General features: G+C 37.9%; 1 long non-coding RNA gene across 1 annotated transcript, besides 2 other annotated features; it reads right to left on the reverse strand.

Moving 5' to 3' along the window:
* Positions 3–132: a silencer, noted in NCBI's record as "silent region_18589". NCBI's record gives its function as "represses an Ori minimal core promoter by ATAC-STARR-seq in GM12878 lymphoblastoid cells {active_cell/tissue: GM12878}" and the evidence as "EXISTENCE:reporter gene assay evidence [ECO:0000049][PMID:35858748]".
* Positions 11,491–25,009, reverse strand: LINC03043 (long intergenic non-protein coding RNA 3043). The gene is made up of 4 exons (NR_167671.1): positions 24,743–25,009; positions 22,015–22,071; positions 16,202–16,275; positions 11,491–11,761 (listed from the first exon to the last, which is right to left on the reverse strand). It is a non-coding gene; the product is annotated as a long intergenic non-protein coding RNA 3043 (long non-coding RNA).
* Positions 17,554–17,848: a silencer, noted in NCBI's record as "tiled region #5263; K562 Repressive DNase matched - State 9:DNaseU". NCBI's record gives its function as "represses a minimal TATA promoter and a strong SV40 promoter by Sharpr-MPRA in K562 cells {active_cell/tissue: K562}" and the evidence as "EXISTENCE:reporter gene assay evidence [ECO:0000049][PMID:27701403]".
* Positions 25,010–25,750: the final 741 nt, after the last annotated feature.

Consider the following 25,750-nt stretch of genomic DNA (forward strand, 5'->3'; position numbering starts at 1 on the left):
GGCTCAGCCCGGACGGGAAGGGTGGTGCCTGGAACCGCCGCGGGCCAGGCAGTGCGCGGCCGGGAAGGGGAGGTGGCCCGGCCTCGCCCCCGCGCTCCAGCCGCTGCGCGCGCCCGCGAAGCTCGACTCTCGGCTCGTTGCCTCCTCCCACTCCTTCGCCTCCTCCTCGGAGAGATACTGGTTTGTGGGGAGACGGGATCCCCTGGTGGTTCACCACTCACTAAACCCACACACGTTTCATTCAAGCCATTTGTAGCGGCTTCCACTCGGAGGAGCTGGGAGGGAACAAGGGCGGAGGCGCGGAGCCTGCGCGGCTCGAGGCTAGGGATGGGCGGGACAGGTTAATTCCCCAGCTGTCGAAACCAGCCTGACAGGTCCCCGAGCCCGGGCTAGGGGCGGGTGCGGGGCGGGAGTGGGGGGTGGGGGTGGGAACGGGAATATGAGAGCGGTCGGGGGAGGGAAGAGAGGAGGGTAGCAGGGGAGTGAGCAGCAGGGTCCCCTCCAATCTGTTGCGGCTGATGCGCATGCCCAGGTCTCAGCTCTGGGGGGCGAGGGGCGGGGCGGGGGAGGGGCGGACGGGGGTTGGGCCGCGGGGAGTAAGAAGGTGAAACCTCACCTCCTCAGGTATTCCCTAGAGATAGGAGAGAATGGGAGCTCAGAGGTGTCAGTCATAGAGAATTACCAGTTCCAGGATTGAGATGCAGAGCGAGAAAGCTCAGGATGCACCATTACCTTTAACACTGAGTTGGGAAGCATCCTACCATGGGTTACTTCGTACCACCCAGAGCATAGTGAGGTAGTTGTATTTGATGAAGTAGTGGGAAATGACTGGAGGCAGAAAATTACTCGAACAGCACTCCCAGCACGGCTGTCCATGCCTTTCCAACCTTTCTACTATATCCCACAACCCTGTCAAAACTGTCAGGGCATAGCTAATAAAATAGACAAATTAATGAAGAGAAAATGATAGAGGAAGAAATAAACACATTCTGAATTTTTTTTTTAAACAGAGTCTTGCTGTGTCGCCCAGGCTGGAGTGCAGTGGTGCGATCTCGACTCACTGCAACCTCCGCCTCCCCGGGTTCAAGCGATTCTCCTGCCTCAGCCTCCCAAGTAGCTGAGACTACAGGCACCCGCCACCATGCCCGGCTAATTTTTTTTGTATTTTTAGCAGAGACGGGGTTTCACTATGTTGGCCAGGCTGGTCTTGAGCTCCTGACCTCGTGATCCGCCCGCCTCGGCCTCCCAAAGCGCTGGCATTACAGGCGTGAGCCATCACACCCGGCCTGAATTTTTTTAAAGCAACACATCTAGAGAGGCAGGAGAAAACACAATGGAACATATGATACCAATTGTGGTAAATAGAATAATGCCCCCCCAAAAAAATGTCCGAATCCTAATTCCTAATACCTGTGAGTATGTTACCTTACAGAGCAAAAGGGATTTTGCCAATGCAATTCAGCTAAGACTCTTGAGATGGGGAGAGTATCGTGATTATCCAGGTGGGTACACTATAATCACAAGAGCCCTTACAAATGAGAGGCAGGAGGGTCAGAGTAAAAACAAACACAAGCCAAGTGATGTGGGCAATCTCTGGAAGCTAGAATGGGCATAAAAAAGGATCTACTAGCCCATTTGAGACTTCTGACCTCCATAACTGTAAGATAATGAATGTGTGTTGTTTTAAGCCACAAAATTTATGGTTATTTGTTGCAGTAGCAATAGTAAACTAATACACCATTAAATCTAAAAATGGAGACAACAGGAATAATTGTATAGAAAAACATAAACTACCAAAAATAGTTCAAGAAGAAAATTTTCAGAAACTGTAATCGAACTATAACATTAAAGAAATCAAATCATTCATCAAGATCTACCCAGAGGAAAGTGCTAGACCTTAGCATATCCTGCGGAATAAATATACATTTATACAAAATGTTTTAAAGCTACTCAGTTCATTTTGTGAAGGCAGAATAACCTTAATGTCAAAATCAGACAAAGCCAGAAATAGGAAAAAATATAAGCTAATAGCACACATTCATTTGTACATTAATTCATTCATTTATATACACTAACTCATTCTCTCAAATTCACTACTTCATTAAAGAAATATTCTGCTCAAGTTACTTAGGTCAGAGCAGTGAATAAAATAAAGTTCTGCTCTCACTGAATTTATATTTTCTTGTATACTCATAAAAAGGACAAACTAGGCTTATGTGTATCACCAAGACTGAATCTCAGAAACATAAATGTAAGGGAAAAACGTAGAACTTGATGTGTTAACTATATAATGCTACCATTTGTGTAGCTCTTAAAATGCACATAAAACAATTTGATAATCATACATGGTGTATCATATAAAATATGTGAATGGAATAAATACAGATCAACTTCAGAATATTAGTCACCTCAGGAAATAGAAGAATGGTCATGGGATGGAAGGAAGCTTCTACTCTAACTGTAGTATCTTGTTTCTTTAAAAAAAATTTAGAAGAGGGAAATCTGGATTAATAATGAAACAGGAAAAATAAGTTGCCAAAATGAAACAGTGATATAGCTTCCCTTCTCATCTCATTAGCTTAGAGTTTAAGTTACACATGTAAGATATGTTTCTATCCTTTTTACTCTAGACCACATAAATGTGTCACTAATCTCTATCACTACACAGAAAGGAATCAAAGCTAAACAGGGAAAAATCCCTTTACCTGCTCCCTTAGAAGCTCCATTGTAATTCACACATGCTTGGCCCAGAGTTGGGCATCATTCTTAAAGTGGTGGGCTATAGAACTCAGGTACCATGCTTGGAGAGTGGCTGGGGAAAGGCCTGAAGGAGGAGCTACCTGTGTTTGTCTGTGGTGGTATCTCATTCATGAGTGGTCCCTTCCTTAACCTGAACAATGATGCCTACCTACTTGGATGGTTGCCAAGTTCTGGTTCTCTAACTTATTCGGACCATGAATAAAACCAAAGAGCTCCAGCTACTCTATTGGAGCCCAGGTCAATATCAATTATTTATAAAATTGTGTTTCCAAAAATATCAATTATTTATATTTTTGGAAACACAATTTTCTCATCTGTATAATAAGGATACTAATACCTACTCTCAGCTCTGCTCACCCAAGTTGTTATGTGGATTAGGTAGATATGAAAAGACTACATAAAGTATAAAATATTTATTACTGTTGCTCTTGGTAGTTCAACTTTGTTTTTAGTGAAATTTAAATGCTGTCAAAAACACATAATCCTTGAAAAAGAATATGCTTGGTAAATAAAAGTGTAAAGTAATAGGTTTATAAGAAAATTTAGAATGCATTCCCTGCAAAAAGAAAAACACACATCTTCAAATATTTTTCCAAAGCTTAGCTCAGCTGTAACTATAAATTTTAAATGGAAATAGTCACATCTCATTCATTTGTGTAGATTCTACTTTAGAAATATAGATCAGAAAAGGAATTAGCTAATCATTGTCTGGTTTACATCTGAGGCCATTTATCTGTACAAAGAAAACTGATTTGAACATGGATTTTTTTTCCTGTGTCAGCATTTCACAAGGTTTATAATACATACTATTGATTTTTTTAATAAAAAAAGAACATGTAAATTATTACCTGCCTTGGCATTTTTATAAAATCTATTACACTTCATTTGGTGTTTGGTGTGCTGAAATAACACACATCACAGAATGAGAGAAATTACTATTTCAAGTTTTAAGATACATCGTTGAACAGAAGCTTTACCCAGCACACAATTCACTTATCAAATAATTTTCTTTCTTTTTTGCCTCAGATAATTCAAAAGGGTCATTTTTTCTGAAAGAAACTGTAACATACCACCAATAGATTATTATTTTCTGAAATTCAAAATTTGTCTGTTTTCCAAATAGTTTGTGGTTGCAGCCTTTCTGTCACTGAATTATTAATTGTTAGTTTGGAAGCCTCCATTGATCACCTTCATTAATCACCTCTCTCTTTTGCCATATATAAGAGCCAAATTATCATTAACGGGTGGGAAATGGCACTGCTTGGAATATAATATCAATATGGTTATGTCTACCTTAAAAATCAAATATCAAAATTAAAGTACTTAAAATTTAAAATAAAACAACAATAATCAAAATAGTCTTTTATTTATTCCAGACAAAAATGTAGACATTGGGCTACATAAAATATGTTTGAACCATACTTGGACCAGCACACTAATTGCATAGCCAAGTCCTTTGGGTTTTGTTGGATTCGGTTTGTTGTTGTTGTTGTTGTTGTTTGTAAAGAAACTTGAATGCAAAAGGGTGAAACTGAAGATGAATTAACACAAGCATAACCAAACATTCTCAACCTTTCATAATTCTTTATAGAAATAAATGCTTGTGAAATGCACCCCTACCTTTTGATCAACATCCTTTTTGAAGCAAAGATAATTTGGATACTTAGTTGGCCCTCAGCCAATAGCAATGTAGCAGGAGATCAGACCATCTCAGGCTTCAGCCTCTCATGACTTCTCAAATTGTGTATTTTCCCTAGCAAGCACATTAATTGTAAATCTTCCAAAAATCATAGTAAGCTGAACTTTTTAACAATTATCCAAAATAAATGTGATATAAAGATACATTTTATTGTATCTTTATAATACCAAAATAAATGTGATATAAAGATATACCAAAATAAATGTGATATAAAGATACATTTTACTTCCTTCTCCCAGAATTTGGGTACAAGCTGTATGCTATATCAATAAGATTCCTTCTGAGACTGTTTAAACCAAATCATCTTATTCTATATTGTTGCTCCATCTCTGACCAAGCATTATTATTTAAATTAGTTTTCTGTGTAATGTTGATACTGGATAATACACTAGAATAAATGCAAGTCAAGCCAAATTGCAGAAGTGTCAGCCTGGTTCAAATAACAAAGGCTAGCAAATTGGAATTTTTAGTATTCTGACCAGAATAATTTTTGTATACAGAGTCAGTAAGGAAGAGCATGGATTTCTATATGAAAAGTGAAAAGTTGAGATAGAAGGGATTTTAAAAGATAATACACCATTGATTTGGCTCTCCTGGCAACCTATTAAATTTTAGCTCTGGCAAAGAAATCAATTCAATGAACACGTACGTCTAAGACCTGAGTCTTGGCACATTTAGCATTATTTTCCTGATTAGTGGTTGAAATATAAATAGTACCAAAACAATATCTGCTTTGTGAGAGTTATAAAACTACCCTAAAGACTGGTCAAAAACAACAACAAATAGCTTTTCTAGTATAATCTTCCTGATTTGCTTGTTCACTTTTTAGAATCTTCTGCAGGTGATATTTTCTTTATTTGGATTGAGGTCCAGAAAGAAAGAAAAAAGTATCTCTGTGTTATATTTAGTTTTTTTAATTCACTCAGGATGTTGAGAGGGTGTGACTCAGTATTATCACAACAAATTGACCTGATAATGTAGACATTTTGAATGATCAACTTAATAGAATTTTAAGATTTGGCCCAAGGTTATGAAATTTGGATTGCCTGACATGACTAGTTTCTAGTGTTTGCATTGTCTTCCAAGGCCCCAGCTGGTCCATGGAATGCTTTTTCAAAGCTAGTTTCCTGCTTATTTCTTCATGAACTCAATATCCTTCCCTGAGCATCCCTGAGCACCAAAACAAAACTTTAGTTTTGAGTTTTAGACAGCAAGGAAACTGATTATCTCCTCTTGTGTTAAAGAGACTACACACATGTGATAACATGACTAAAGATCTTTGTGGTGGTCCAAAAGAAGCACCTCCTAGTGACTGCGAAATGTTCACAAGGGTGGTGTCTTTGGGGCCTTGTAGTATGTGGGCAGCGTCCCTTCTAAGATTTCAAGATGCTTTTCAGCTCACTAAAGAAAAGACACATTTGATCTCTGATAAGATTTTAATCAATGTAAATATTGGACTTCATAAAAGAATTGTACTTATAAGAGAATTTGACTGCTAAAAAACAATTAAAAGTCAATCATACAGTACTCCCCATTCCTTTCAGAAATAAGGAAACTGAGACCAAAGTGGGTGAGATTATTTGCCCTACATCATGTAGTGTAATAGAAATAGAACTTGGACTGAAAACCAAGGTTTTTGAGAGTGAAGGAAAGGGGCAAACCAGTCAGGAATTCTGAGAGGCTTCCTGAAGGAGGTGAATGGAGTAAGATACTGAAGTGAGTGGACAAAGAATCCATGTTGCAACAGAGTGACTGGCATCAGCAGACTGGGAGAAGAGAAAAAGGATGGTGTGTATGGAACTACAAGCAGTTCAGTGCTGCTAGGAACAATGGCTGATACTTTTTGTTCTTAAACAAGCAAACAAACAAACAAACGCTTAGTCATTATATTGTTTTTGAAGAATGTCTAATTAGGATAATACTTATTATTTGGCCACTTATTCCAAGCCTAATGATCTTCAAATATATATTAATCTCTTTATTCAGCAATATTTATTGCCTGCCTCCTATGTGCCACATACTGTGCTAGGTGGACTAGATATACAATGGTGAGAAAAGCAGTTTATGGCCCAAATCCTCAAGAAGCTTACGTGGTAATAGGCAATTTAATCATGTAAGTAGACATTTAATTAGAAGGCACCATGACAAAGTTAGCTCTTAGAATAGGGAAATATAGAGTGCTATGAAGACATAAAGAAGTATCTTATATAGCCTGGGGGAGGGGACAAAGTAGGTATTTTTGAAGAAAAAAAGTTCTAAACTGAGATCTGCAAGTGAATGCAGGGGGACAAGAGGGAAGGGGAGAGTTGGACATCCAAATGAAACCAGGATAAAGCTGAAATTCAATATCATAGACTTACAAAAGTGACAGTAGTACAGTGTGGCTTGTAATAGAATTGAAAGTAGAAATGAGGAGAGACAGGTCAGAGAGGCGATGAAGGGAAACATGGGCCAGTGAATTTCAACCAGAGAGTGCTCCCACTGGCACCACCACCAGGGAAGCCCTACAGAATGCCCTACAGGAGTGCAGTGGGTGAATGGAGGTGCAGGAAATGACTCTGAACCAAATCCATACCTTGTCTTGGCTTCTCTCTACCACTCAGCTTTTTTTTTTTAATTTTTATTTCTTTCTCACCACATTCTTGCTTCCTTTGCATCTCAAATATATGATAAAATATGCCTGCCAACACCCTTTTCATTTATGCATTAACAATCAGTTGTTACAGGGACAAATAGGCTGAGTTCTCTTTTTTTTAGTTTCAGTGTCCTAGGCAGGAACGTGACATAGTCAGATGAGCATACCTGAACTTTTAAATGTGGTTGGAGGGAATGTGCAACCTGCTATAGTAGACAGCTTCCACAGACACTGCACAATTATATTATGAGAGAGGTGAGTTCATAGAAGCAGGAATGGTGAGAAGATTTCCAAGTATGAGAAAGGGTTCTGGACAGAAAAAGTTATGGGTGTTCACTTCATTGACACACAAGATTGTAATGACTGAAAGGTAATGGATGTAAAATCAAAGGGCATAGTGACCTGCAGGTGTTGCTCAGTGAGTTACTGTTGTTGAATTGATTTTAGTCTCTTGAAAAGTGTAAAGTACTCACAAGGACCCCTTGTTTTGTCTTACTACGGCCATGACTACCTCCACTCAGCCCCCAGGCACACTCACTTTTCTGGGAGGTACAACTACTCCAACAGTTTATTGTCCTAATACTGGCTCTGTCAAATTGATCAAAGCTTGAGCAATTAGTCCCATACCTGGAACTCCTCCAATTGGAACAGAAACAGAAAGCGGGTGCACAGAGTAGCTTCAGTTTAAACACGACATGGGAGCTATTGGTAGATAATGTTTCCAGTGAGGATAAAGGCACATAGAAAAGCAACTTGTAACCTGGAAGACAAATGAAGGAGACTCAGAAAAAGAAACCAATGAGCTCCAGAACATAGTTCTGTGCCTGAAATCCAGCTGCCACTCAGTCCTTGGAGTCCATAAGATACTCCAGTGCTTTGTCACTAAGGTTGAGTTGCTGTTCAATTACTTGCAATCAAATCTGTCATTACAAATACTCCCTGCCCAGAAACCTTATGACATTTTGATCTACTCAAATTCCCTAACATTTATGAAAAAGTTGTATACATCATCACTGTGAAGACTTATAATCAACATGCTAAACCTAGTAGAATGACCACAGGTAGAACCCTAAACGATATCAGAGTTTTGCATAAAAATTGTTAACTATTCTAGATCTTGGATTTTTAACTGTATAAGATTATATAGTGTGTCCACCACCCATCGAGGTTTTTATACATTGAAAGATTTCCTCTCTAGCCCTATAAAGCGGAGGAAGTAAGAAGGGGAACCAAGTCATATCGCTTTCACACCTTTACCTAGTAAATTATCAGAGATCAGTTTGAAAGACAGCCCTTCTGTGACACTGTTATGGGAAACTGAATCATTTCTGCCCCTTTTTCCTTGAATGCCCTTGAGGGCCATACACAAAATAAGGGGATCTGTAACTTAGGCTTTCATCTCTGGAGAACAGTTTTACCTGACTCTAGCACAAAACAGAAGGTGGGAGGAGAAGGCATTTCTCCTCTTAAGGCTTCAGATGAAGAGAAATGAAACAAATCCAGTATTTAAGAAAGACTTGGAGATCACATTAAAGAAAGAAAAATAATTGGAGACAGTCAATCAAAAAGCATCTAATATGTGCCATCTTCATGTGGCACTGGGCAGGGTGCCTGACAAAGCAAACTGAGCCAAGGCGGTTCTTAACTTTAAGTTGTATAATCTAAAATTAAGCTTCAACATTATATGCAGGGCTTTGGGGCAACATGACACAAGATATTTTTATTTCTAACAAGTTCTGAAATTCTTTTTACTTCATGTGCCATTTTTCAAAAGCAATCCAGAGTTTTGTTTTTTTTTTTTTTGAGGTCGTTTATTGCTATCCCGTAATTGTTTATACAGAAATTCCTATAATTTTAAATTGTTACTGGGAAATACACTTAAAGAATGTTAGAAACCTGCCATTTTAATCGAAGAAATATATTTGGAAAGAAAACATCTCCTCAGACCATTACAGCATACTGTTCGCTTAGATCATAATGACTATATTTTAATCAGGTACCCATAAATATTACAATATTGAGAAAAGGCCTGGGTTCTAATCCTGACTCCTTCATTAATTATCTGGAAGGGTTAGAGACATCTCTATTATTTTTGTACTCATATATCCTCATTTGAAAATGGCTAAGGCACTGTTAAATAATATTATATTCCAAAACATAATAAATATTTTTCACATTCACATAATTTCCATATTAGTGATTCACATTCTTTACATTGTTTATACAAAAAAATCTCTCTTTTGTATAGAGGGTTTATGCAACTGAAGGAAATCTGGAAACTCTAGCTATAGGTCCAACACTGGTACTAATATTCATGAGTTATAACAAGAATAACTCATTATAAGGGCATATTGTCCTATTTTTATGTGATATATGCAGTATTAGCTAAAACCATGGACTGTGTTTAAAAATTATTGTGTTGTAAGTGGTCCTTGCATAAGAGAGCATTATGGAAATAGAATGATTGAATATTTATAGTGATTTTCCAGGTGGTGCATTGTGTGTGTGTGTGTGTGTGTGTATGTGTGTATGTATGTGTTTTATTTTCAATTTATTGAAACATATTATTTCAAGATATATATAATAAACATATTATTCTTAAAATAAGGGACATGTAAATTTTAAAAGAATACTGTTCAGTTAGAATTAACCAAACTATTGGATTCATTAATGCTCTTCCTTCCACCCATAACACATGGACTGCCCAAGGGCTGCCCAGTCACTGACAGGCTACTCCATAGGAGACTCAGGCACTTCTGCTTCCAACCCTCTCCTTGAGTGGTGTTGCTTACCAGAGTCAAAATCAGTTGTGTCTGCTTCTTTACCTGTGAAAGTCACTTGTACTTGTCATGATAATTATGCAAATTAATTAACATTATATTAAAAAGTGATGAGATGTGATTATGAAAATAGAGTCATTTCTTTAAACGTTTCAGAAAGATTTGATTTTTAAAATGTTAAGTTAGATGTAAGAAAACTATAAAATGTTATGATAAAAAGTTAAAAATGCTTATGTTTTTAGATTGCTTTATTAAGTGTTAAGTTCTTAACTTTAATGAAACTCAAATTGGAAATGTAAATGATATGTTATAGGTGTGTGGTTTATGCAAAAAAGAAGGTAAGGACCTTCATTCAGGAAATAGAACTCATGTTATTGGCCTCATCCCAAAAGCTTGGTGAATAAATGAACATTTATATATTTTAGATTAAAATAAGTATTTAAGGTATATATTAAGTTTTCAATGATTCCTTACTTTCACTGCTTTTTAATTCTGTAACCAAATACAGATTCTAATCGAGTTAGATAAGAGAATTCCAATTATAACTATTTATTTACGAGCCTGGGTGTTAATCATCCTGTGGCCCCTTTCCTACTATCTCTTATACTTGAATTTCAAACCCTTTCCTGCCAAATATTTATTTTACAATCAACTGTACATAGATACCCTTTGAACTTAAAACCTGAAAGAAAACAGTCTGAAAACAATTATCTTAGAAGTTCCCATAACAAATCAGCCTTTAATCCTGACTATTATTCTAGGCACTTTTATTTGTATAGGGAATTCCTTTTTTGGTCAATTCTATACATTCACCCAGGTTTGTGGCCCCATGCAGAGTCTAGGATTATTACTCTGGTTTATAGCTTTAGAAAATTTTATAAAACCACAACAACACAATGTCTTCACCAAATTATGTAAAGTGTTACTATTTCCCATAATGGTTTGTGGGAAAAAAAAAGTATACATACATATAACTATTTAAGCACTTACTAATTTAGCAAATATTTATCTGCTATCTGTTATGCAAAAAACAGTGAGGTATACTTGCATATTTACAAAAATAGAGCTATTCTATAAGGAAGCTTGATATGTCTATTGTCCTAGCTCTAGGAAATATTTATTTTGATGATTTTATTTTTTATTTTTTTTATTTTTGAGACGGAGTCTTGCTCCGTCGCCTAGGCTGGAGTGCAGTGGTGCAATCTTGGCTTACTGCAACCTCTGACTCCCGGGTTCAAGCGATTCTCCTGCCTCAGCCTCCCGAGTAGCTGGGATTACAGGTGCATGCTGCCACGCCCATCTAATTTTTTGTATTTTAGTAGAGACAAGGTTTCACCATGTTGCCCAGGCTGGTCTGGAACTCCTGAGCTCAGGCAATCCACCCGCCTCAGCCTCCCAAAGTGCTGGGATTACAGGCATGAGCCACCACGCCTGGCTCTTTTGATAATTTTAAACCAATAGGTATGAAATAGACTATGTAAAAAGGGAAGTGAAATCTAATGGTACAGCTTAGAAAAATCCTCAGATAAAAGAATTTTTCCCAGAAAAACAAAAAAAAATGATTTAATTTTTAAAAGATGGCTAAGAAAGACAAAAAGAAAATCAAAACGCCAAGGGAAATTCTCAGGATTTAGGTTAAAGGTTGTTTTAATCTACAGTTAATATCTCGAAAATTCTTCAGGATTTTCTACTAACATTGGTACATTGAAACAATACCTGACATATTTTCTCACTATATGTCTTCAACAATGCATGGTTGCTAATGACAGCATTTGCTCATGAGCCTTCCCTGCAGGAGAGATAAAGCCTCTGGGGTGAAGAATTTTCTACAACAGCAGACCTGCCATAGCTGATCTGTCAGGGTGAGTCAGACAGGCATTCTGCTCCCTAAGGATGACAAGAAAACAAATAAAAATAAAAGAAAATGCAAACATTTTCATAAAAGGCATTTGGCAAATTAGTAGCTGCCCTAAGGAATTCAAAGCAAGGGCAGAAACTATTAGCACTTCATTCACAAAAATCTTTTGATTTCAATATTTCAAACAGATAAATTAAACCATGTATTATGTCTTCTGATAGTTCAACTGCACAAATACATATTGTGGAAACTTGGCCAACATTACAATGATTTCATTCACATGCAGCTCATGCTCATTTTTCATTTTTTTGATACAAATATTTGTCAATTTCTACTACTGCAAGGCACAGTGCTAGGCACTGGGGAATGCAATGATGAGCAGAAACCAACAAGGACTGTATCTCCATCCTGCGGAGCCCACGCAGTTTAATGAGGATGGGGAGGCAGGCATAGTAATTAAAAGTTCCTATAAGCACATGAGGAATTGCAGTGGGCACAGATTTGAAGGAGAGATATGTGGTGCCTAGAATCTATGATTGTAGTATTTTAACTAAACCAGAAATTGAAAACAACTTCTATAAAGAAGTTCTGAAGGACCCTTAGATATTAACTAAGCAGGGAGGGAAAAAGTTATTGTGAGCAGAGGAAACACCCATGTCCTAAGGCATGGTGGCTGGAAAGGGTATGATCAGTTGAGGGGGCTGAAAAGAGGCCATTGTGGCTAACACAGAGAGTGCCAAGGCACTGTGGCATGAATGGCACTGAAGACATGGGGGATCCACATCCTAAAGGGCCTCAGAGGCATGATACAGAGTTCTGTCTCTACCCTGAGAGAGAAATAAAGTCAATGAAGCATTTAAAGGGCATGTTTCTGCATGTGGGGGTGTCACGCTGTCTGAGAGACATGACATGATCAGATTTGTTTTTATTCTCTATTTAATCGTCTCTTAATTTTACCAACAGACAGCTATCCTGTTAACAGTTTCTGTACATGGTAAGAGTAACTGGGGTTGAATATAAAGTGGTTTTACATCTAGACTGTGGAAAGTACAAATAAGTCTACATAAAAAAACACAAGTTTTGCATTTTTTTATGTAAGACAATGCAACTGAATGGCTTTTTAAAATGTATAATTTGTATTCAGAGATAGTATAATTTGCTATTCTTAACATGAAGAGAATCAAGGAAAACCGCCTTCCTATTAAAACCAATTAAATATTTGAATCACCTTTAAGCATGTACATTACACTCTTGCTCCTGATCAATATAATGAGTAAAATATTCTGTACCCGCCAGTATTAGTTACATGCAAAGAAGAATAGTGTCCCCCTTTTTTCCCGGGAACTTAGGAATAGTAAATGCACAAGAGGTTAGAAATATAAGAATTCTGAATATATTCTGGGTATAGCAGGCTGAATAATGCACTGAGTAATAACATATAGAATGACAATAACAATAACTTGCTGTTATGAGTGACTTTAGCAATAAAAAGAAATCAACTCATAGAATATTATCATTTCAAGTCAATCTAGTAATATAGTAATATACCTATAGAATTAGGGACAAAATTATACATGTCATAACATTCCAGTTTTTAACTGATTGAGTGCATGTTATGTGCTAGGTGTTTCCAACATTTCATATTATCTTTGTGAGCTAGTTGTTTGCAGGAGGGGAACTCACAGAGCTTGAAGCCCAGACCTGCTGAAGCCTGAGTGTGAGTAATAGAACCTCACTTCATCCCACCTCTATGTAAACACTCGAGAAGGTGCTAATTTTGTTTTGCAGTAGTTATTTGCACCTAGTGAGGAAGCAGGCATGTAGCCAGAATTTCCAGAACAGCCTAGCTGATGCCATGAGGAAAAAAAAAAAAAAAAAAAAAAAACTAGAGAAAGGCAAAGGAAGCTTCTCCTACCTGATGGTGTTCTTGCTCAATTTAGGCAGTATCATCTGAAGCTACGTAATTTCACAGCAATGCTAAGGTCATATGAGAAGTCACAACTGCCTCTGAAACCTCACTGTGCTAACTCCTGTTTTACGTGTCTGTTCTCTGTTTTTTCTGCCTCTCTAAGTTTCCTAACCATTTGCCATTAAAATCTTATATCTTTCTGTTGACTGCATTCCCATCCCATTGTGACAATATAGAAAGTATTACACTCATTTTATAAAGACACTGAAGCCCTAAGCATAACAGTCACTCCTCCAAATTAACCAGCAATAATAATGAGGTTATAATAAACACAACTATGCCCTTTGCATATGAAACTGTTAGGAAAGGGCAAAACACTGAAGACACACTTACAGGGTGAAGAGAAACAAAAACCAATTCTATAAATGTGTAATCTTGACACTGTGTGGAGAAAATTTAGGTTGTTTCTTTTGATGTTACACAAGAAAATCATATGAGATAATATGAACATGTTTATTTTACCATCAAATAAGCTCTATGAATACAGGAAATGTGTCTATTTCATTCACCTATTTAAAGCCAGCGTCCAGCAGACCCTGTGTGTCATAGCCACTTAATCAATACTTAAATTTTTAAATTTTCAAATGCCTATTGATTTAAATTATTTCATTACTTCATTAAGGTGAAAAAAATGTAGTTTGGTTATTTGAGGAACATAAGTGATGTTTCTGTGAGGGTGTTTTGGATGAGACTGAAATTTAAATTGATGGACTTTGATCAAAGCAGATTGCTGTCTGTGGGTGGGCCCCATCCAATCAGTTGAAGGTCTAAATAGAACAAAAGACTGCCCTTCCCAAGCAAGAGAGGATTCTGCCAGCAGACTGCCTTTAGATTTCAACTACAATACCAGCTCTTCTCTAGACCTCCTTCCTGTTGGCCACCTGCTGCAGGTTTTGAACTTGCCAGCCTCTATAATTTATTGAGCCAATTTTTCAAAGTAAATTTCTCTCTCTTTCTACACACACATGCACACACACACACATACACAGCCTATTGGTTCTGTTTCTCTGGAGAACCCTGACATAATACAATTAGTATTAGCATAACTTTTTAAGGATATGGGTATTTCAGTGTAAACAATCTTAAATGATATACAGACTATTAAGATGAGGTGGAAAGAACATGAAGTAGAAAAGTCACAGGGCCAGGTCCAAGATTTCTCTATTTATTTATTCATTCACTTCTTTATTCATTATATACTTTCTGAGCATCTATGATAACCCCAGACACTGTTCCAGGAGCTGAGGGTACAGTGGAGAAGGACATTGACCAGCTCTTTCCTCTTATGCTTATTTAAAACTAGTGGAATAGATGAGCAATATATAAGTCAACAATTGTATTAGTCAGAGTTCTCTAGAGAGACAGAACTAATAGGATATATTTATATATGAAGAGGAGTTTATTAAGGAATATTTACTCACACAATCACAAGGTAAAGTCCCACAATAGGCCCTCTGCAAGCTGAGGAGCAAGGAAGCCAGTCCGAGTCCCAAAACCTCAAAAATAGGGAAGCTAACAGTGGAGCCTTCAGTCTGAGGCCAAAGGCCCAAGAGCCCCTGGCAAACCACTGGTGTAAGTCCAAGAGTCCAAAAGCTAAAGAACTTGAAGTCTGATGTTCAAGGGCAGGAAGCATCCAGCACAGGAGAAAGATGAAAGCTGGAAGACTCAGCAAGTCAAGTCCTTTCAACTTCTGCCTGCTTTATTCTAGCCATGCTGGCAGCTGATTAGCTGGTGCCCTTCCAGTTTGAGGGTGGGTCGGCCTCTCCCAGTCCACGAACTCAAATGTTAATCTCCTTTGGCAACACCCTTACAGACACACCCAGGATCAATACTTTTCATCCTTCAATCCAATCAAGTTGATACTCAATATTAACCATCACAAGTAAACAGACAAGTTACTTTCAGAAAGTAAAGAAAAAATAAAACAGGCAGATACGATACAGAATTATTTAGATTGGGTAATCACGGAAGGCTTCTCCAAAGAGGTGACTTTTGAGTAGAAAGATGACTAGAAATAAGAAGCCAACCATGCCAAGATCTGGAGTCAGAGCATTTCAGGCAGAGGAAACAGCAAGTACTAAGGCCTAGAGGCAGGAGAGTATTTGCCCAGAGTACTTGAGACAAATTCCTTGGCCTCTCTGAGCCATGGTTCCTCATCTGTAAATTAATGGTGATGAGACATACTTTAAGAGTTGTTGTCAGAATGAGATAATGTTTATAAGGTCTGAAGCACAACTATGGCCTATAACAGAAACTTGAGAAATGGTCATTATTAAGGGAGTGTAGCAGAAAGGTATAATTTAAATTGGGAATAGGGGAGCATACAGAAATGACTTTGAAGGAAATTTGAACTAAACTCTGAAGGATGAACCAGAGGAACCAGAGACTGTCAGATGGTGAAGGAGGAGAATATTCTAAGCAACATTAACAACACACATGTACACCGTGCACGCACACACATGCGTGGTCATACACACACACACATCACACATATCCTTACTTCACTGTGGTTTTGTTGCTGGTGAGCAGGTACGGATTCTTGACTTCACCGCACAAAAGAACTTGAGAGCGAGCCTAAAGTAAGAGTAAGCAAAGTTTATTTATTGCAAAGCAAAAGTACACTCTGAGAGGCAGAGCAAGCTACTCAGAGGCAGACAGCAGCTAGTGCCTCAAAGGAATTCCTTTTATGGGAGCTGTACATACATTTTCATAAAATACGACCTGGGAAGGTCAAATATGCAAAGGCAGACCTGCAGCTGGAGCATGCGCTTAGCAGTAACACACACCGCATGTATCATGCCCTAATACAAATCATGTGTATCATTAGCATATAAAATCTCCACCTAGGGGTGCTTTTTTTTATTATTAAAATGAGGAAAAGTTTACTAAAAGCTAAACCTTGATTCTAGCTGCATATGCAGGACACCAGAGAAGCCCCCGGCCACCCACTTTCCTTTCTCCTCCCCCTTCCCTTCCCCCAAGGCAGGAATTTGTACCTAATAGCTTCTTGGGCTTTTGGTGCCGATTGGTTGGAGAATGGGGAAATTCCATCAGGAATAAGAAACTTTTGTTCTCTTTCCCAGGCCACACTGGATGTCAGGAACTTGTAACCATCTGGTTGGTGGTCTGCTGGTATCCTGTAGGACTGCTTACCTTGCCAAAGAAGTGCTGATGCACACAAGGATGCAAGGGATGTAGGGCTGTCTGTGGAGGGGCCCGTGGGGCTTCACACAAGGGGACAAGTCAGTATAACCCCGATATGATTTGGCTGTGTGGCCCCAACCAAATCTCATCTCGAATTATAATCCCCACGTATCAGAGGAGGGGCCTGGTGGGAGGTGATTGAATCATGGGGGCCAATTTCCCCCTTGCTGTTCCCATGATAGTGAGTGAGTTCTCATGAGATCCTTTTGTTTAAAAGTGTGTGGCACTTCCCCCTTCTCTCTCTCCTGCTCCTCCATAAGACCTACTTGCTTCCCCTTCGCCTTCCACCATGATTGTAAGTTTCCTGAGGCCTCCCAGCCAGGCTTCCTGGACAGCCTGCAAAACTATGAGTCAATAAACCTCTTTTCTTCATCAATTACCCAGTCTCAGGTAGTTCTTTATAGCTGTGTGAAAATGAACTAATACAGCTCCCTAACCTTACTTATCCTGCCTCAGTTTGACTGTTGTTTTAAAATTAAAATCACCCTACTTTGAAATTAGAACAAAATCACAAAATTTTATTAATTTACGTACCAAATCTTTTAAAACTCATAGGTCTACTTTATATTGCTCGCAATCCAGGAAGAAAAAAGGAAAAAGGGAAAGTGAGAGAGAAAAATATAGAATATGAATGGCAGAGAGAAAAAGCCAAGACACACATGGAGAACAATGATAGAGGATGTAAGTGATTCAAGAGGCATTGAGGCAGGAAGAAGAGTGTTGACTTAGGGAGAGATGGAGATGACGGTAGAGGGAAGAAGTGGTCAAAAAGGCGGAGGAGGAGGAAGCCGCAAAAGACACATCCCTGGACTCAGGAAATAAATCACCCAGTTGTCTGGAGCTGAGCAGACTAGGCAAAATGGCAGCATGCTAACCTTGAAAACGTTCTGGAAAAAATTGCTTAATAAAATGTATATATTAGGTTCTAAAAAAATTATCTTTGACATTCTGACTGAAGGAATTCATGTTCCTCATTCAATATGGAAATAAAACAAAATGTATTTCCATGTGACAGAAATATTTCTCACATAACAATTTTCTTCCTTTTAATTCAAGAAACCAGGAAGGAACTTTGCCATGAGAAAAATGGAAGAGAATTTTTACTGGCCTATCACTCATAAACTATTTTTCTTCCCCATTTCTTATCCTTTACTTTCTATTTCACCATACTGCCTTATCTGGTCATGTGTGTATGTATCTCTATCTATCTATCTATCTATCTAATATATGCTTTCATTTTTCTTACTTTTCCCTCAAAACATACGTGCCCTCTTCAATTATTTTGTGAATGTTAGAAATCTATTAAAACATACCATCATTGGCTGGGCACGATGGCTCCAGCCTGTAATCCCATCACTTTGGGAGGTCGAGACGGGCAGATCACGAGGTCAAGAGATCGAGACCATCCTGGCTAACACGGTAAAACTCTGTCTCTACTAAACATATAAAAAATTAGCCGGGCATGGTGGCACGCGCCTGTAGCCCCAGTTACTCAGGAGGCTGAGGCACGAGCGTCGTTTGAACCAGGGAGGTGGAGGTTGCAGTGAGCTGAGATCATGCCACTGCACTCCAGCCTAGGTGACAAAGCGAGACTCCATCTCAAAAAAAAATCAAATAACAATAAAAAAAGTTATTATTTCAACATGATAACCTATGTTCACTGATTATGTTTTTATTCATTCCTGAGAAAAATTAATGTGAACTGTTCATTTTATCACAACTCAATATCAACCCTGATTTTATTTTTAGCTCATTGCTGAAACTAAGAAATGTCCATTGACTTTCTGAAAGCAATAGCATAATGCTTCTACTTTTGTCATTAATGACAGTGATTGTGATAGATGAGCACCTCAAAGTTTCTCTGCATAAACATAGAACTAACTCAGAAAATTGTTCTTTAAAAAATATACACACCTGTTATTAATATAGTCACTACGTAAATACTCAGTCTTAAGACGGAGGAGTATGCAACTTCACTAACTATAATTGTTTACTAAAATAAATATTTCCATGCTATCCATAATGCTTTTAGTAAAAAAGGGAGGCTCATAACAATTGTAGTGCAAATTAAATCTGAATTTAAAAAACGCACAATTCTAATTGTTGAATTCCGAAAATAAATAGCCCAAATCATTCTTTTTTTTTTTTTTTTTTTTTTTTTTTTTTTTTTGTATTTTAGAACTCTCGAGAGATATGTGAAGGAAGGGATCCAGAATCCAAAGTAAAAGTCCACCACATATTCACAGCTGTGGCATCTTCCACCGCCTAGAAACTTACCCAGGAGTAAAGGCTTTCCTAACTCAGCAGCCTTAATGACTTGCCCAGAGGAACCTGGTCCAAAAGGCGCTCTCCAGGTTAGTGTAGTTTGTCCCTAAGCAGACTTCAGATAGTAGGCTGAGAGCGCATTTGGATGAGCTTACTAAATGGAAAGCCTTCCTTTTTTTTTGAAGTTCTGAGTGGATGCTGTAACTTTAGTCTTCCTCCAAAACTATTTGGAATCTCTGAAAACCTTCATAAACTCAAGAAAGGACCTATGTTTCTCATGGTCTCCAAACATAGCATTCCCAAGATGCTGCTTGAACTTGTAGGGTGTTTTCTCTGACTGGGCTGCCTTCTGGCACCAGATTTTTTTCTGCAAGATTAGTCCAGAATACTGTGGGAAAGAGCTCCCTCTCCTGCCGCGCAGAAGGTAATGCTACTGGATACGATTGCCTGAGTAGGCTAACTGCTTCCAGAAGCCAAACTTTAATTTGATCACGTGAAGTTTGCACTCTGGTTTGGATAGATCTTTTCTATATTTATAGTCCTTGATTTGTAAGTCCAAGTTTTATATATAAACAAATGCATAATTAAAACATCCATTCTAGATTGCTTGTATAAACAAAATGTATAATTTGCACTACAGATTTTCTTCAGAAAAACAACAATTACTTCGTATGTGCTTTTGGAACTAATAGAAATCTGTTCAGCTGTGATTTATATGCACTTCCAAAGTGAGATTGTTACAGAGGAAATTGTGGTAGTTAATCAACATGCAAATGACTTGTTTATGTATGACTTAAAATGAATTTTGACAGAAGTATGAATGCCAAATTTAAATCTTTAGCCTTGCAATGAAAATTACACAAACCACAGAAAGATCTGACTTACCTATAGAAATATTGAAGTTAAAGAGTTTTAATTAATGCTTGCCAGATTAATACTTTTCACTTGTTGATAACAGGTCAAATAAAAACTCAAAATGCTAGAAGTAAAAAAACACTTTTTTACTCAAAACCTTTCCTGTCACCTTCATCTGCAACATGTTATGTTACTCATTCTAGTAAATAGTTTTTAGGCATGTCTTCAGAATTCAAATTAGTATATCTATGATATGGTTTGGCTTTGTGTCCCCACCGGAATCTCATCTTGAATTGTAATCCCATAATCCCTCGGTGCTGTGGGAGGGACCCATGGGAGGTAATTGAATCGTGGGAGCGGTTTCCCCCATGATGTTCTCGTGATAGTGAGGGAGCTCTCATGAGATCTGATGGTTTTATAAGCGTCTGACATTTCCCCTCCTGGCACTCATTCTCTCTCCTGCCACCCTCTGAAGAGATGCCTTCTGCCATGATTGTAGGTTTCCAGAGGCCTCCCTAGCCATGCAAAACTGTCAGTCAATTTCTTTTCCTAATAAATTACCCAGTCTCAGGTATTTCTTCACAGCAGCGTGAGAACAGACTAATACAATCTAAGTGGCCATACTGACAGAATTATTTTTCTCTGTTTATAAATATTTGAAGTACTACAGTTTCTGAATCTCAAACATGAAAGTTCTTTTCACATTTGTTAGGAACTTTACAAGGTTTTAAATAAAAGAAAGGAGTTGTTATGAAAAAGGAAGATGAAAACAGAAACAAAAAAGTAATTAAAGCAATTCTCAGTAGTTGTCCCTCACCTGTGCTTTAATTCTCACACTGAATTGGAAAATCCCCAAATTAATATGAATTAACATTTATTGAGTGTTCCACAAATGTTAGCTACTATTATCTACTAGGCACTGTGCTGATTGCATTACATTCCTTATCCCCTTTAAACTTCAAGACTTCAAGGAAATTTAAGCAAATTGAGGCCAAAAGAGTTAAATAACGTGACCAAACTCACACTGCCAGGAAGTGGTGGAGCTGTATTTTCAGCCAAGGTCTGGCTCCAGACCCCATGGTATTAACCGCTACCCTGTACATTTCAGACTAAATGATTTATTAACAACTATGATTTCTCTGACAATGCTTTGACATTTCTTTTTCTTTTTCTTTTTTTAGACGGAGTCTCGCTCAGTCGCCCAGGCTGGAGTGCAGTGGCGCGATCTCGGCTCACTGCAAGCTCCGCCTCCCGGGTTCACGCCATTCTCCTGCCTCAGCCTCCCGAGTAGCTGGGACCACAGGCGCCCGCCACTACGCCCGGCTAATTTTTTTTTTTGTATTTTTAGTAGAGTCGGGGTTTCACCGTGTTAGCCAGGATGGTCTCGATCTCATGACCTCGTGATCCGCCCGTCTCAGCCTCCCAAAGTGCTGGGATTACAGGCGTGAGCAACCGCGCCCGGCCGCTTTGCCATTTCTTGAGTACACTACTGGTTAATGAATTTTGTGTGGAACTGAAGTTAGAGTTAACAGAGCCAGGATAGCATATAAAATGCCAACAAGAAAAGAGCCCCAAAAGGAGAAATACTAGCTTTTGATGTGAGAGACAACAGAGAGTCAAAAGAGGATAAGTAGAATAAGACAAGTGAATTTGGTCAGATCTGGGCAGAGATTAACTTAAATGACAAGGCTTCAGTATAGAGAATGGGATGGGTGTAAGAAAATTCTATATATATACATATGTATATATATATGTATATAATGTAGTTATGAGGTGGAAAAGAAGAAAATAGTAATCAAAAAGGTGAAGATGGAAAGGAAAAGAGAAGAAAAAAAGAGAGTAAAATGTATTTAGAATTTTCCACGGGATAAGCATTTTTATGTCACTGCATATAATTTTCATATTAACTGCCAAGCACATAATAACTTAGAATACTTTTTCTCATTTTTAAAGATGAAAGTACTAAACAACATTTTGGAGAAGACTTACCTGATAGAATTTGAAGAGCCAAGACTTGAACTCACATCCTTTGATTCCAATATTGCCCTGTGGGTTTAAGCATAAAGAGGGAGGGAACTATAGAGAGACATCCTAGATGATTTTGAATAGATATCATTTGGTTGCTATATTGAAAATATTTTGGATATTACTTATAGTTATGATACATATTTATTAAACAAAATGGAAAAAACATTTTCTAAAATTTCCTCCTGTTTGTTGCATTCATTTTAAAAGAAAAATATTTATACTTTTCTTGTTGTGAATTGGAATGCATTTTTATAATTCTGAAAATGAACTTTTTCATTTCTGTTTATACCATCGTAGAAAGGGAGAATTATGCTTGAAACAGAGTCTGTCAGGCATTGGTATAGATCCCTTTCTGCATCATTTGGGTCCAAAGGAAGAGGAAAAGGGATAAATCATGACCAGCTAAGAGATCCAATAAATTGGAGGAAATTAGGAGGTGCACACTTTTTGTTTGGAGACGCTATTTTCTTTGTTTTGACTGACAGCCCAAAATTATCTAAGATAGGGGTGCGTGTGTGTGTGTGTGTGTGTGTGTGTGTGTGACCTGAAAACAGTAAGTCAGGAGTATGCACCATGATCATTGTGTCCTGGGCACCAGATAAGGTCCGAGCTCCCCAGATGGTGAGCGCCAAGGGTTACATTGAGATCTCCGCTTATTCCCAGGTACACTTGCTATGAGGTGGCAGGTTAAGTTTGGTCTTCTTTCGCTCCTCTTTTATTTGCTCTACATGGGGTAGAAATCTCCCAACGTTTGTGGAGAGTGACTGTCACTATTTCATATTTAACTGCACTGGTGAAGAGTTTATTTTCCTTTAAAATTGTTTTTATTTTTGTTAAATAACCACTTTGTCATTTTAATGGCAATCTGCATAGAGGGAGTTAGATATGCGCTAATGTTGTCATCTTAAATCTAAGTTAGTTTTGAGGGAACCATTATCACACATTTTGAATGAAGTTAACATCATTCAAAACTAACATGTGGGAAATCCTTTAAGTGATTGTTTTTTGCAAATTTGCAAACCTAGAGTATATCTCAAAATACTCTCAAGTATATAGCCTTGTATTCATGAAAGAATCAGATTTTAAGTGAGGGATTTTATTTTCCTTCAAATAAATGGATTTAATGTTTCTCTTAATTATGTGTCACAAATTGGACTAAAATCTCACAGGGCCTGCCCATACAGGAATCTAAACAATACCAGTTTGTAGAGTCCAGGGGAATGTAAGAAAAATACTTTTTTCTTTTAGGTATTTATTCAAATAACATACCATTCAAGGGATTCATTTGTAAGTCATTTAAATAATTTTAAGGAGGAAGTCAAATCCTATACAAACTAATAAATTATAAGCAAATATTTATGAAAGTTCATTTCACTGCCTATGGGAAGGTTACTCTTCCTCTTTTACTGGATTGTTCTATACTACTAAGAAAGAAACACTGAAGTTCCCTGTGGATGGATAATCAGTATATGCCCACAAAGACTGGAAATCATGTTGTTTGGAGACATACATCTACAGCCTCACAACTAATCCAAAAGTCACAGACACACATTTGTTGATTGCACTTCCTTCCCTTTCACAAGATTTCCATTTCTCATCTCTCCTTTGAACCCATTTTCTTCTTTTCTGTTCCTCATCTCCACATGTTTCTTTGGTCTATTTAGTTTTTTTCTTCAGGTAATCTCTCAGTTTTTCAAGCATCTTTATTGTGTATTTTTCTGTTAGTCTCTCTTCCCTTTTACATAATCTGACATTTACGCTTTCTCTTTTTTGCCCATTATATTATCTGCCATTTCTATCTCTTATTAAACCAAACTAAATATGGCCTGAGAAGGACTCCATACTTCTATATTTGCGTCCTTGTGGATGAACTGCAACCTAACTGAATAGGTAGACAAGATTGAAAACTTAAGAGTATGCCCTGTAATAATCACTGAGTCTTGGCCAATCCCAGCAGCCATATTTCAACCAGTTATACACTGCTGAGCGTTCAAACTGTGTTCAATAAGGCAAACGCCAAGCTGTAACCAATCCAGCTGTTTCTGTACCTCACTTTAGATTTCTGTACCTCACTTTACTTTTTTTGCCTATAAATTTGTTCTGGCCTTGAGGGACCCCTGGAGTCTCTCTGAATCTGCAGTGATTCTGGGGGCTTCTCGATTCACGAATCGTTCATTGCTCAATTAAACTCCTTTACATTGAATGTGGCTGAAGTTTTTCTTTTAATACTCCTATCCTTATTGTCCCCATTCTCTCCTTTATAATTTCAACCACCCACTTTATCCCTCTTCTCTTTCCCACAAGGATAAAGCACTCCTGTAATTCCAATTTACCTCCCATGATAAGTAGATTCCACTGTTGTTTTTTTCTTTGTTTTTGGTTTTGCTTTGGCAATTCTCTTTCTTTCCCAAGGAATAGAAAAGATTCAATTCAGAAACAACATTCAAATTATCATTTGCTCTAGTAAGTATAATTGGCATTTGTTAACTTTTAATAAAAGGATATTTTAACCATAAAATGCATTTTATATATATATATATATTCTAGAGCAGAGCTCTCAGTCTTGTTGCTGATGAGAAGCATTTTGTTCTCCGTTATAAAATGTACTCTTCCTCTGAGACACACATCATGCTTCCTTGACACAAGCCAGCCTTTTCTTTATTTCCATTGTCTTAGTTTCTGATCATACCTCCATGTTTGTCAAAGAGTAGATTTCTGCTTCATCCTGCGTGATTTCAGGAGCCTTGGTACAAACCCTTTCTGCTCCCATTACTTCCAGTAACTTTCACCATCACTCTCAGGAAGCCCTCTCTCAGAAGCGGATTTCTGCCTGCTTCACTTTAACGTCTCTCAAGTTGGATACCCAGCGTGGTCCTCCTACTGAAACAAGAGTGCCAGCTATACCAACAGAAAATCTTTTTACATGCCTATCTGATTTGGCTCAAAATGAAGGAGCAGAGAGCCCAACTCTGAAGTGAAAGCAGAAACACTGAGCAGTAAATGACAAAATTAGCTTTGCTCTCAGTGGTTTCTGACAACCCCGTGGCAGGACTGGGGTGGAAGGAGGAAGGAGATAAAGCCTAAAACCTTAATACAGCTTGGACCCCAGAGTACTAAACGATCGGAGCAAAGGTGAATGAGAAGTAAATCCTCTCCTTTAGAAAAGGATCAAAAAGAAATATGTCTGTCCAGAACTTGGTGCCTCCTTAGAGGATTTATAACCATTAGCAAGCTTTCTCGCGAGTCTTTAGTTCAAATTTTCACCATTTTTCTTGTCTGAAGAAAGTTTGAGGGGAAATTTTAAGTTAAGTTAGTCCTGGCTTTAGTTTTCTAAAAATAGAACTTCAAGATATTGAAAAGATAAACCTTAAAATGAAGAAACCCAGAGAAAGGATTATACAGCAGATTTGTATAGTTGAAAAGAGAATGATTGAATCTGCAGGGAAAAGAAATTATCCAGAATGTGAAAGCACAAGTAGGAAAAGTAAATGACAGAGTAAAAGAAATATGCAGCTATTCAAAGTTCCAGAAAGAATAGCAGAGACATTGGAAGAGATGGTGGCTAAAGCTTTTCCAGAACTGTTAAGGGACATCGGTATTTAAATTCAGGAAGCTCAATGAATCCCAAGCTGAAAACAATTAATTAACACCTAAAACCATTATAATAAAATTGCAGGGGCCCCTAAGGGCAAAGAAA

This window comes from Homo sapiens, chromosome 7, assembly GCF_000001405.40.
Source record: "Homo sapiens chromosome 7, GRCh38.p14 Primary Assembly".
Lineage (NCBI taxonomy): Eukaryota > Metazoa > Chordata > Mammalia > Primates > Hominidae > Homo > Homo sapiens.